The sequence below is a fragment of the Homo sapiens genome, chromosome 15 (assembly GCF_000001405.40).
Source record: "Homo sapiens chromosome 15, GRCh38.p14 Primary Assembly".
Taxonomy (NCBI): Eukaryota; Metazoa; Chordata; class Mammalia; order Primates; family Hominidae; genus Homo; species Homo sapiens.
The window spans coordinates 81,279,917-81,293,275 of NC_000015.10; the positions used below are offsets into that span (position 1 = coordinate 81,279,917).

General features: G+C 46.3%; 1 protein-coding gene across 16 annotated transcripts in view, besides 2 other annotated features; it reads left to right on the top strand.

The window, feature by feature from the left end:
• The window catches only part of IL16 (interleukin 16), a 131,347-nt gene that overhangs the window by 97,205 nt on the left and 20,783 nt on the right, over positions 1-13,359 (top strand). For all 16 annotated transcript variants that reach the window (NR_148035.2, XM_047432447.1, XM_047432448.1 and 13 more), the window contains 4 exons: positions 2,723-2,840; positions 5,782-5,914; positions 10,537-10,624; positions 12,640-13,121. Coding sequence is in view for 14 of the 16 variants with exons in the window: in XM_047432447.1 (XP_047288403.1) it covers positions 2,723-2,840; positions 5,782-5,914; positions 10,537-10,624; positions 12,640-13,121 (821 nt within the window). In the remaining 2 variants the exon portion in view is untranslated. The remainder of the gene's footprint in view (positions 1-2,722; positions 2,841-5,781; positions 5,915-10,536; positions 10,625-12,639; positions 13,122-13,359) is intronic.
• Positions 6,862-6,941: an enhancer, noted in NCBI's record as "active region_9950". NCBI's record gives its function as "activates an Ori minimal core promoter by ATAC-STARR-seq in GM12878 lymphoblastoid cells {active_cell/tissue: GM12878}" and the evidence as "EXISTENCE:reporter gene assay evidence [ECO:0000049][PMID:35858748]".
• Positions 12,596-12,725: an enhancer, noted in NCBI's record as "active region_9951". NCBI's record gives its function as "activates an Ori minimal core promoter by ATAC-STARR-seq in GM12878 lymphoblastoid cells {active_cell/tissue: GM12878}" and the evidence as "EXISTENCE:reporter gene assay evidence [ECO:0000049][PMID:35858748]".

Here is a 13,359-nt window from a genome sequence, read left to right on the forward strand (position 1 = left end):
TCGAGTCTTCTGTTTATAGAAGCTCAAGACATACCATTCGAACCTAGTCAATGTGTTCTGGGTCAGTGGTTTAAATAAAGCAAAACAAAGCAAAGAAAAACTCAAACACAAAAATACCCAGAGAGAGAGAGAGAGAAACAATGGGCCAGGAGTGGTAGCTCTGCAGTAAATATGCTAAGACGCCCTGGGCAGGCCACCTTCCCTTCCCTGGGCCTCAGTTTCCCTACCTGTGGCAGAGAATTGAGGTCCTTTCTACCTCTGACATTCAGGAACAGACAGCCATTCCCTTTGCCACCCCCCCAGGTGGGGGCTCGGAGCCCTCTCTGCCTGAATGCAACCGAACTGAGACCTGGAGGATAAAGAGGAGGCAGCGAGGCACAGAGCTGGGCTCCAGCACAGGGGCCAGCATGTGTTCTAGGAGCAGAATGAAGGCCAGCATGGCTGGAGCTAGGTGGGCAGAGTGAGAGCTGACATCAGGGTACTTGGCAGAGGCAGAGAGACCCTGTGGGGCTTTGCAGCTCGATTCTCTTCTAACTGGAGTTGGAAATCCTTTATAGATTTCTAAGCAGGCGAGTGACACATCAGCTTATGCTTCAAAAAATGTCTCCTAGGGTTCTTCACGGAGAATGGCCCATAGTGTGACAAAAGTAGAGGCTTGGAATCCACTTGCAGCCATTTGGGTCAGGGATTGGGAGTAGTGGATTTGGAGAGAAGAGGATGGGCTTGAGATATATTGTCGAAGTGGAAGGGAAGCATACATAGTTAATTCCTTGCATACAGCTTTGCCTGATGTGTGTTTTAACTCTCCTGCTAGGTTGAAAGCTCCCTGAGGCCTCAGATGCCTCTGTATGCCTGCAAGCCTGGCACAATGCTTGGCATAAGGACTAGGGGCAGACAAGTCTGTGCTGGCATGGTCCCAACAGCTGTAACCAGGGCTCCCGCAGTGCATTTGCTGAGCAGGCATAAAATGGGAAAGGCATGGCCTTGGAGTGGTGTTTCCTCTGATCACTGGCATCAGAAACACCTTAGGGAGGATTTTTGTTTGCTCATTTTATATAATGCAGCTTCTTAGACTCCACCCCCAGAGATTTTGCTTCAACAGTGTTTGTTCAACAAGTTGAGGTGAGGCCAAGGGATCCACATTCTAAACAAGTATCTTATGCAATTCTGACGCCCATTAGACTGAAAAACTTGCTCTAGTCAGGACACCTGGGCTGTGGGAAGGGCTCTGACTTTTACCAAATTCTTCATCCATAAAATGGGATTGCCAACAATTGTCACGGCCTCCCTCATGGGACTGCTGGGAGGACCAGCATGAGAAGGTGAAAACATTTGCCAAAGTGCTCTGTAAATCATACGTGTCGAAAGAAAACTGTAAAGGGCCTTCCCCCACACTGTGCTCACTCCATCTGGTCCTCCTTGCTGACAGCTCCTCGTTTTCCAGGCGTTTCCATGTTGGTGAGCCCCAGGCCCTCCTCTCCCACACACTGGGGGATCCCATCCAGCCCCACGGCCCTAACACCACCTACATGCAGCTACGTTCAAACTTTCAGCTTCCACCCTGCTTTCTCCTCTGGGTTCCGGCTTCATCTGTGCAAACATCTGCTCTACACGTCGCTGGGATAGTCCCAGACATCCTGACAGCACCCCCTTGCCTGTGAAGCCACCTGAAGTATCCATTCCTCACTTTCCAGCACATTGCACATGTCATTTGGGCAAAGCTGAACCCCCCAGTCTTACCCTCATAATCCTGGGCTTCCATAGCCCTCCCTGCTTTGGTAAATCACATTACCATCTGCCCAGTTACTCAAGCCAAACAGATCTCCAAGTTATTTTGATTTTATTTGTTAAGTTTCTATACTTCATCCATCAGCAAGTCTATCTTCAAAATATCTTCCATGGGCATCCGTTTCTTTCCATCTTCACTGGAGGTGAAGTCCAAGGCCACCACTGTTTCTCTCAACAGAGGCCTCTTAGCTGGTCTTCTTGCTTCCATTCTCCATGACCCATAGTTCTTTCCCTTCACAGTAGCCAGATGTGTTCATAAAAATAGGAATGAGATCATGTCACTTCCTTGTTCACAGTTCTCCTATGGCATCCCTTCTCAGTAGAGAATAAACCCGTTCACTGACATGCCATTGTTGACACAGCCCCACTGAATCTGCGCTTGATCCCTCTCTCTCACCGTCATGTGCTGCTCTCCCATGCAGGCTGTGTCCCTGCCACACTGGCCTTTCTGGTCCTGCAACATGGCATGCTTGCTTTTGCCCTGGGGCCTTTGCGTTGGCTGTTTCTGCTTCTGAGATGCTCTGCCCCATCTCTTCACCCCTAACTCTTGTCACTTGTATTTTAGCCCAACTGGTGTCTCCTCTGAGGCCTGAAGTAGCCATCCCTCACTTTCCAGCACATTCTGCGTACATTCACCACATAATACTTATCACTCTTAGATACTGTCCTCTCTTCTCATCTAGCTCCCTCCTTCCCTCCTTCCCTTCCTCCCTCCTTCGCTCCTTCCTTCCTAGTCTTTCCCCACTATTCCTTGCCTGCCTTGGTCACTGTTCTGACCCTAGAGCGGTGCCTGCACACAACGACTACTCTGTGAATACGGGTGGGATGAAAGCTGTAATAACCAGGGGGCCATGTCTGTGGCACCCAATCGACGAGTAGGCCCCCTGGGAAAGCTCAGTCCCGGTCTCCCCACCCCGCCCTGTTCTGCTTCCAGAGGCCGGCGTGGGCCTGGGCATCGGCCTGTGCAGCGTTCCCTACTTCCAATGCATCTCTGGCATTTTCGTCCACACGCTGTCACCAGGATCCGTGGCGCACCTGGACGGACGTCTCCGGTATGTCCTCACTTCTGTTTCTGAATATACCCCCGACTTACAACCAGGAAAGAAATACCTTAGAATGTCGGGAGATTGATTTGGACATGAGCTATAAAGAATGATCTTGTGGTGGAGATCAGCCGCTCCGCCCGCCAGGACACCCCCTGTTGTGGGCACTGGCTGGGGAGGGGCAGGCCTCCTTCCTGCCCCCCAGGACACTCTTGGGAGATGCATTTGCAATCTGGCTCAGAGGGAGGGAGTGAGGCTTTGCACCCCAGCCCCTCTCCAGGCCACTGGGAGGGTGGGTGCTGGCTGAGCCCCCAGGGCTAGCAGGAGCGGGGTGGACAGGGTCTTTGTTCTCAGCTCCCACAGCAGAGCCAGGTGTGGGTCCTGCCAGGACCAGACCGAGGTGGGGCGGCCTAAATACCACATCCCGCTGTGGCCAGCACACCCCTGACCCTGCACACATTTGTAACCCTGAGAAATTCCAGGGCTGGGCCGGGAGGCAGAGAAGCTGGAGGGGATGTCTGAGGCCATACCCAGTGGGCTGGTTCAAGCCTGTGGCTGGAGCTGGGGTCTGTTTATCTAATAAAGCCCCACAGGTGCCTCAAAAAAAAAACCCCAAAAACCAAACAAACAAAAAAAAGAGAATGATCTGGGCATAGCTCAGAGCCGTGTTCCTCAAAGTGTGGTCTGGACCAGCAGAATCAATGTCAACTGGGAACTTGTTAGAAATGTGGAATCTCAGACGCCCGGACCCAGACCTGCTGAACGAGGACCTGCATTCTAACAAAATCCCCATGAATGTGTATGCATGTTACAGCTTAAGAAGCATCGTCTCAGAGAATGCCAGTCCAACATAGAAAACACACTTTAATTAAGATTTAACTAATATTGAATTTACAATGACATAAATAGGAGCTTTGATGAGGTTAATCTATGAATTCTATATGGAAATGGTGGCTTAATGACAAAAATATTAGTAAGTTGGGCACCATGGTTCACACCTATAATCCCAGCGCTTTGGGAGGCTGAGGCGAGTGAATGGCCTGAGCTCAGGAGTTCAAGACCAGCCTGGGCAACATGGCAAAACCCATCTCTACTAAACATAAAAATTAGCCAAGTGTGGTGGCACCTTCCTGTAATCCCAGTTACTTGGGAGGCTGAGGCAGGAGGCTCACTTGAGCCAGGGAGGCAGAGGTTGCAGTAAGCCAAGATCGCACCATTGCACTTCAGCCTGGGCAACAGAGCAAGACCCTGTCTCAGAAAAAAAAAAAAAAAAAAAGAGAGAGAGAAGATATCAGTAAGAGAAATACAGGTTCTTTCTCCCATAAACAATATATTTCTGGGTACTCCAGATATATTTTTTATAAATAATTTCTAAGAGAAGTTCAAATCTAATTTCTTTCAATAACTGATCTGGATTTGATTTAAAAATTTATCCTATTTAATTTGTTACAATACTTTGCACTCTAACATTTGTGTATAGTGCAAATATATCATCTCTCACTGGTTTTGGGTTTTCCTAAATCAGGAGAGTTTTGCCATCCTTTTAAAGGGTTTCCTACAATTGCAGTGTATGGAAAAGCCATCCCTGCTTATGATGCTGTCTCTCTGGAGCTTCTGAATTAGAAAGGGATTTGCTGTTATCTGCGGGAGGGTGGCAGGTGATTTGCTGAGCTGCTCTGCTGGTTTGTGGCACATACTGCAGGTTCCATGTGGTTGTCTTGGTCCTAGTACCCTCGGACAGAGAGTACCTCCTTCTTAGATCTGCAGTGGAGTAGGGATTGTTCTGGAAGCTTCTGCTTTCCTTAGCATCTGGTGCTATACAACCATGGCCTTCAGTTACAGCAGTAAAAAGGAAGCAAGGGTGAAGGAGGATGAACTCAGCAGAAGGAAGTCACAGAACACAGCAGGGGACACAGGGAAATCAGCCTCAGGAGGCTAGAGTTCCAATCCTGGACCTGCTGATGACCAACTAGGCCAGGGGTCTGCAAACTGGGGCCTATCACTGTTTTGGTTTTGTTGTTGTTGTTGTTTTAATAAAATTATATTGGAACAAAGCCATGCTCATTTGTTTATGCCTCGTCTATGGCCACAGCTGTCATGCTATTAATATAACAGCAGAGTTGAATAGTTTCGATAAAGACAGTATGGCAAAGCATGCAACACCAAAAATATTTACTCTCTGGCCCTTTGCAGAAAAAGTTTGTCAATTCCTGAGCAGACCTAGATCAGGGAAATCTATTCAACCTCTGCAACTCAATTTCCCTATCTAGGTCGGGAAGGGGACTGGATTATACAAATCTTCCATGTATCTATGTGACCCCGTGTTTCCTACCTTTTTTTTTTTTAAGGTTTAGGTTGCTATTAACTCCCTTCCCACCTCACAACTAGAATGAATGCCATCACCTTTTCTCCTTATTTCTTTTTGCAAGAATCTCAACTGCTCTCCTGTTGAGTTATTTTTTCTCTGCCTTTTAGCACATGTAGGATGTTAGGTCCGATATTCAACATCCTGTGTGTGCTATGTTAGATCCAATCCTTCCTTCTAACTAGTCTACTTATGGGAACACAGAGGCCCAAGGAGAGGATGTGGTGGATTAAATCCTGGTTAATTGTTATTTAGTTGAATTGGCTAACCCACACCCTCAGTCTTTAATGGGCATAGTTAAATGTGAAAAGAAGGAGGAAAGTTACAGATGAACTTTTGTTAATGTTGACCCACTGTAAATAGGAAATGTCTGCTGCTTTGTGGTTGTACGGTAAGGGGGTATGGGATATGCTACTTTGGTCTGCCCTGTTCTGAGTTTTGGTCTGGTGGCTAGTGGGGTCTACTTATTCATGTGATTTTTATATCTCATCAAACAGCCCAGCCAGGAGTGGGCCCCTGGGGCAGTGACTGTTCAAATGTCTCATTGATTCACTTACTGATGGCTTCTTATTGATGCTTGCACAGGTGTGGGGACGAGATTGTGGAAATCAGTGATTCCCCTGTGCACTGCCTGACGCTCAATGAAGTCTACACGATCCTGAGTCACTGTGATCCCGGTCCAGTCCCCATCATTGTTAGCCGACATCCAGACCCACAGGTAACACCCACTGGGTTATCCTCTTCTTCTCAGGCTCACTCGTTCAGTACCAAAATTGGAACAAGAAATAGATGAAAACAGAGATGTTGCTGGCTGGGTTTGTACCTGAATTCCCAAGAATCCCTTCCAAGTTTCTGTAGTAAGAATTGTCTGCAGCAGAGGTCCACTAACAAACTCCTAGATATCAGAGGCAATTGACATTAACTTAGGGAAGCTCTTACAGCTGAGTTATAAGCTCTGGGGCAGGAAAGTAGAGACCCAGGGTCCCAGCTAGTAGACCAAGAAATTTATTCATTTATGCGTCTAGTAGGTACCCACTGTGGGAATGTCTGGAGGTAGGTACTGAAGATACAGAGGCAAGTTCATAGCACACAGTCCTGCCCTGCAGAAGCTCACAGTATCAATAAAGAGCCTGACATACAAATAATTGCAAAACAGAGATGGTAAGTCCTATGAGAATACAGGAATATAGCAGGGAATGGTTGATAAAGTAAAAAAATACCAGAGGTTAGTTTTCTCCAGGCAGAGAATATAAGGAAGATCATTCCAGGAGGTGGGAACACAAAATTCAATGTCACAGAGTCAAAAAGGGACCTGACATGGAAGGAGAGGAGTGGGTTCTGTGGGGCTGGAATGTAGGGTACTAGGTAAGAGTGACTGAGAACAGATGTTGGCAGGGCATTGGGGTTACACTGCAGAGGGCTTTCAACAGGATACTAAAGAGTTTGCATTTTATTCTACATAGTGAGGAGCTATGGGAGGTCTGTAGCTGTAGAAGGAGCATGTTCATATTTTAATTTTTAAACCTTTGATTGCACTGTAGAAGACAGGATAGAGTGGGTGGAGTGTGGGGTTTGTAAGAGGAAGGAAGCTGATGGTGAGAGCCTGAACTACACAGCAGCCATGAGAAGAGAAAAGAGAAGGGGCAATGTATTAGTCTGTTCTCCCGCTGTTGATAGACACATACCTGAGACTGGGTAGTTTATAAAGAAAAAGAGATTTAATAGACTTACAGTTCCATGTGGCTGGGGAGGCCTCACAATCACAGCAGAAGGTGAAAGGCATGTCTTACATGATGGCAGACAAGAGAGAATAAGAGCCAAGTGAAAGGGGAAACCCCTTATAAAATCGTCAGATCTTGTGAGACTTATTCACTATCATGAGAACAGAATGGGGGAAACTGCCCCTATGACTCAATTATCTCCCACCAGGTCCCTCCCACAACATGTGGGAATTATGGGAGCTAAAACTCAAGATAAGATTTGGGTAGGGACACAGACAAACCATATCAGGCAACATGAGGCAATGCTTGGGAAGACTCAACAAGAGCTGCTGGGCAAGTGGCTCTGGGGTAAGAGAGGGAGGAACCGAAGATATCTCGAATATTTTTAGATTGGAAGACTGAGCAATGGTCTTCCACCAGAAGAGAGAAGAGGAAAAGGTAGCAGGCTTGGGAGGGAGAGAAGAGCATGATCTTACTGTGGGACATAGTGAGGTGGAGGTACCACGGGGTGTCCAGGTAAAGATGCCCAGTAGGCAAGTTAGACTTAGGGCTGATAGCAACTATAACAGGAACCCAGGCTGGAGCTAGACTTGGGGGTTGAATCCCTGCTGTTGGTGAGAGCTCTGGGGAACCTGGAATAATCACCACAAAGAATTATTTAATCTTAATATGCACCAGGCATGTTTTTCAAAGATGTGACCCACACAACTGCATTTAGTTGTTGTGCAGCCTCCTGAAATCAGTGTGATATTTCCCCCCCAACTCACAGATGAGGAAACTGAGGCTTAGAAAGGACAAATAAGTTTCCCAATGGTGAAGCTACTAAGTAAAGAAGCTAAGATTTAAATCCAGCAAAGCCTGTGCTTTGAACTCACTGACTCCCAAACTCCCAGTGACACTTGGACAGAGTGGAGTAATGAGGGAAATCAATATATAATGGTGTGGTGGAATTCAAACCCAGCCCCATTCTGTGGATTGCACACTGGAGCTAAACACAATCAGAGACAAGCAAACTTCTTAATTAAGGCAAACAAATAATTGGCCTAAATCTCTGGACAATACAAGAAAAGAAAGAGGTCCCAATTAATTTGTCATTTCCTCCTGCTGCTTTTAGGACTACGGCAGAAAATCAGTGGAGTAGGGCGTCAGGTTGTGGGCAAATGCTGTAGCCCTGGGCTTAAGGAATGTGCATTCTCCCAGAGACATGGGACACACACAGAGAGGCCACAGAGGTGAGGGCCTTGAGAGTGAGGGAGCTGGAGTTCCAGCTGCTCAGATAAGGGAGCCAGGCCAGAAAGGACAGGTAAGGTTTAGAGCAGCAGAAAGACGAAGACACCCTAGGCCGTGGAGATCCAGGGGCACAGGCATAGGGCAGAGAGAAGAGAGCCAGGCCCAGCAGCAGAATGCCTGGCATGTGTCCAGTCTGCTGCTTGCTTATGGTTAATTTGGGCAACTCATCTAACCTCCAAGAGCCTCTGGTTCCTCAACTCTGACATAGGGGAGTGGTCTTTACCTTACAGGACTGTTGTGGATGGTAACTCTCCTCTAGTAAGAGTTTACCATCTGCCAGGCATTGTGCCGCAGACTTTAAATGATTTATTTATTGTTGTTTATTGTGGTAAAATACACATAACATAAAATTTACCATCTTAACCATTTTTTAAGTGTACAGTTCAGTGGCATTAAGGACATTCTCATTGTTGTGCAACCATTGCCACCATCCGTCTCCAGAACTCTTTCCATCTTTCAGAATTTAAACTCTACCAGTTAAACAAGTCCCTATGTTCTCCTACCAGCAAATCCTGGGAACCACCATTTTACTTTCTGTCTCTGTGATTTTGACTACTCTACGTTCATCGAAGTGGAATCATATAAAATGGGTCCTTTTGTGTCTGCCTTATTTGACTTCGCGTAATGTCCTCAAGGTTCATTTATGTTGTAGCACGGGCCAGAATTTCCTTCCTTTTTAAGGTCGAATAATCTTCTAGTATGTGTATGTGTGTGTGTGTGTGTGTGCGTGTGTGTGTATCACATGCTGTTTATCATCTGTTTTTGGGTACTTGGGTTGTTTCCACCTTTTGACTATTGTGAATAATGCTACAATGAACGTGGAGTACAGATTCCTCTGAGATACTGACTTCCCTTCTTTTAGGGTATATACCCAGAAGTGGAATTGCTGGGTCATATGGTAATTCTATTTTTAAGTTTTTGAGGAGCCTTCAAACTATTTTCCACAGTGGCTACACCATTTTACATTCTTATCAACAGAGCCCAAGGGTCCCGATTTCTCCATATCCTTGCCAATACTTTGTTATTTTCTTTTCTTTTTTTGAGACTGAGTCTCACTCTGTCACCCAGGCTCGAGCGCAGTGGCACGATCTTGGCTCACTGCACTGGGTTCAAGTGATTCTCCCACCTCAGCCTCCCTAGTAGCAGGGATTATAGGTGTGTACCACTGCACAGGCTAATTTTTGTATTTTTAGTAGCGATGGGCTTTCACCATGTTGGTCAGCCTGGTCTCGAACTCCTGACCTCAAGTGATCTGCCTGCCTCAGCCTCCCAGAGTGCTGGGATTAGAAGCATGAGCTACCATGCCCAGCCTCTTTTCTTTTTGTTTATAGTAGCCATCCTAATGTCCTAATGTGTGTGAGGTGGTAACTCAGTGTGGTTGTGATTTGCATTTACCTAATCATTAGTGATGTTGAGCATTTTTTCATTTGCTTTTTGGCTGTTTGTATATCTTCTTTGAAGAAATGTCTATTCAGGTTCTGTGCCCAGTTTTTAATCAGGTTGTTTTGTTGTTGTTGTTGTTGCTGAGTTGTAGGAGTTCTTTATATAATCTGCAACTCAACTATTTATCTGAAATATGATTTGCGAATATTTTCTCCAATTCTATGAGTTGCCTTTTCAATCTGTTGATGATGTCCTTTTGATGCACAGAAGTTTTTGATTTTCACATAGTCCAATTTATCTATTTTTTTGTTTCCTGTACTTTTGATGTCAAATAATTTATTTTTAAAAAACCTGTCCTCATTTTGAAGTGGGTTTTATTATTGTTATTATTTTACAGAAGGAAGAAATGGAGGCTCAGGAGGTTAAGTAACTTGTCTAGGTGTTCACACCTAGACAGTAGAGGAACCGGGACTAGAACACAAGCCTTTTTGACTCTAGGACTCATACTCTTAACTATTACTCCAAAGTGATAATAAACTGTGAGTCACAGCTCAGACAGTATAATAGTGATTGTGATTATTACGATATTGTTGATAATGATGATGTCATGACAGCATTGCCAAGAACGGACTAGCTCATAGAGATAACCTATGAAGTGGTAACTTTGCCTAGAATTTTCCAGCAAGTAGTGGGGAGAAGGTTGGAGAGTTGAGGGGGCCTCCTTGGGAACCCCTGCATTGATAGACTTTGGACTTTATCTAGAAGATACTGAGGAACCATTGATTCCCGGGGTATTTCTGGAAATGGAATTCATCAGCTATTTGCAGAGTGGGTTGAAATAAAATAATTTAGAATCCAGTGGCCCAGCTTTGGAGCTGGTACGGGGCTGGGAGCCTGATGCAGGAGCTTCTACTGTTTGTTTGAGGAGATGACTGATATTTTCTAGGTCTCTGAACAGCAACTCAAAGAAGCTGTGGCCCAGGCTGTGGAAAACACCAAGTTTGGAAAGGAGAGGCATCAGTGGAGTCTGGAAGGTAAGACAAATGGTGAACTTTGATGTAAAATATCTTTGCCTTCTTAGAAAGCTTAGGATTTATCCATTAACTCATCCTCTATCCAAGGAATAGTAACAGCATTTACCATAGACCAGCATAGTATGTAGACAAAGGCTGAAAACTAGCAGCCCACCAGCTAAATTTAGCTTATATTTTTGCTTTGTTTGGAAGACACAAGATTTTAAAAGCATCTGAATTTAAATTGCTACAAATGTGCCAGGCTCTCTCCAGCTCCCGGTGGTCTCCACCGTTCCCTTTATCCTGTACCAAGTTGCCATTCACACAATAGCCCCTGCAGGCACTTGAGTTTGCAGCCCCTAGTTTATAATAATAGAATATTAGAAAAACTAACATTTGGGAATATAATTCTGACATTTATTTAATTCTTATAATTCTTATAATAAATCAGAGACTATGCTAATTCATGCATTCACACATAATTTTTATGCAAATTTTATAAGAAAAAGTGAGGCCCTCAGAGACTCTCTTACTCAAAGTCATACCACTAGAGCACAGAGGCTCTGGAATGGAGATCCAGCTGGCTTGACTCCCATGCCTAGCCATTGGGCATTAATCACGTCTACCATGGAACATCCTTATGAAAGAACAACATGCAACCATTGGCACTGATATTGACAAGAAATTAAATGATCTGGGGAAATGTTCAGAGAAAAGAACAGAACACAATTTATTTCAGCTCTGGTTTATTATTTCTACCCACCCAACATGCATATATGCTCGGGAAAGCATGACAGAGAAACTCACCAAAATTTTGACAGTAGTTATTTCTGGCTGATAGGAACACAGGTGAAGTGAATTTTTACTTTCATTCCTTCCTCCTTGTGGCTGAGTTTTCTCTAAGGAGGATGCATTATTTCATGATCAGGAAAAAAAAAAAGAAAACTTTTTATTTAAAGAGAAAGTGAGTTAGGAGCTTGGCTGGCCTTGGTTCTCTCTCATGGGGCTCCTCTGGCTTTCTTGGTCTCTCAGAATGAGCTGGAATTTGAGCAAGAGACTAGATTTCAATCCTCTCCCACCCCTTCAAGCTGTGATTTTAGGAAAGGGGCACCCTTGACAGCTTACCACTAGAGAGAAGGGCCTCTCAAGGATGTGTGGGTAGCCCTAGTGCTGGAAACTAGGGTAGGGGGTACTGAGAACCAGGAAGGGCTAATGGGGAGGGAGGGAGGAAGGTGCAGTGGCTAAGAAATAGCGGCTTTCTGCCCTCACCTCACCCTCAACTGGAAAGAAATAGTGACTTCTTCGTGTAAGATTCAAAGTGCCTTGACAGGTAGTTTCTCTGTCTTTGTTATTGAGCCTCAAAATAACCCCAGTGACTTTAAAATTATCATCCTCATTTTACAGATGCAGAAATGGAGTTGGGTCCCCCAGGAAGCTGACTCTGAGATGGAGTTTGGTCTGCAGGCAGTGTCCTGGGGTTCACTACCTGTGGCAGGGAGGGGAGCAGGCAGGGTAGACAGAGGGAGGACGGAGCTGAGGTGCACACCCAACAGCTTCAGCCAAGCCCTGGAGCTCTGCAGCCAAAGTCCCCATTAGAGTTGTCCTATGTTGGCCAACATAGCTGGGCCTCTGTAACCCTATCTCCAGCAGTCCCTGGAGATGGGCTGCCCCATTGGACAAGGCAGCTGTCTGCAGCTGTGGCAGCCCCTGGAGGGACCCACAGCTGAAAGTAGTCTGCCAGCAGCACTCCCCACAGCTGGGACACCAAGCCCTTCCTCGATGGGTGATCTGGGTGGCATATCTCCATATACATCAGTCATAGGCTCAGAAAGCTTGAATGATTTTCCCAACCCAAAGTCATACAGCTCGCCAGGGACCAACACCAAGACTGCCATACTCCAGATCCACAGTGACTTCAGATAAGAAGCAGATGGCCGATGTGCAGTGTGCTGCCCGTGGCAGTCACAGGTGAGGCCAGGGGGTATTTCTGTTTTCTGAAGCTCAGCTGTGAAGATTCTCTTGTGCTTCCCACACAGGTGTCAAAAGGCTGGAAAGCAGTTGGCACGGGCGGCCCACCTTGGAGAAGGAACGAGAGAAGAACTCAGCACCCCCGCATCGCAGGGCTCAGAAGGTCATGATCCGCTCCAGCAGTGACAGCAGCTACATGTCTGGGTCCCCAGGGGGAAGTCCTGGGAGTGGCAGTGCTGAGAAGCCGTCCTCTGACGTGGACATCAGCACACACAGCCCCAGCTTGCCTCTGGCACGGGAGCCAGTGGTGCTTTCTATAGCATCCTCCAGGCTGCCCCAGGAGAGCCCACCCCTCCCAGAGAGCCGGGACAGCCACCCGCCGCTGAGACTGAAGAAATCCTTTGAGATTTTGGTGAGAAAGCCTATGTCCTCCAAGCCCAAGCCTCCACCCAGAAAATACTTTAAAAGTGACAGTGACCCTCAGAAGAGTCTGGAAGAGAGAGAGAACTCCTCATGCTCTTCTGGGCACACCCCACCCACCTGTGGCCAGGTAAGAGGATGGGTCCACAGGTTGAGTGTTTCCAGGACCAGACTCAAATCTTGAGCATGGGCAAATTAGCAAGTTAGTGTTAGCAGGGCCAGAATGAAAGTTTCTCCTGCTCCACCAGAGAGAAACTGTTGCCTAGGACTCAGCTGAGGACTGACCATGAAAAGATGGGTTTGAAGGTTGACAGATAATTGAAGTCCCAGTCCTGCTTGCTGGCATCTGGGTTCCCACCCATAACACA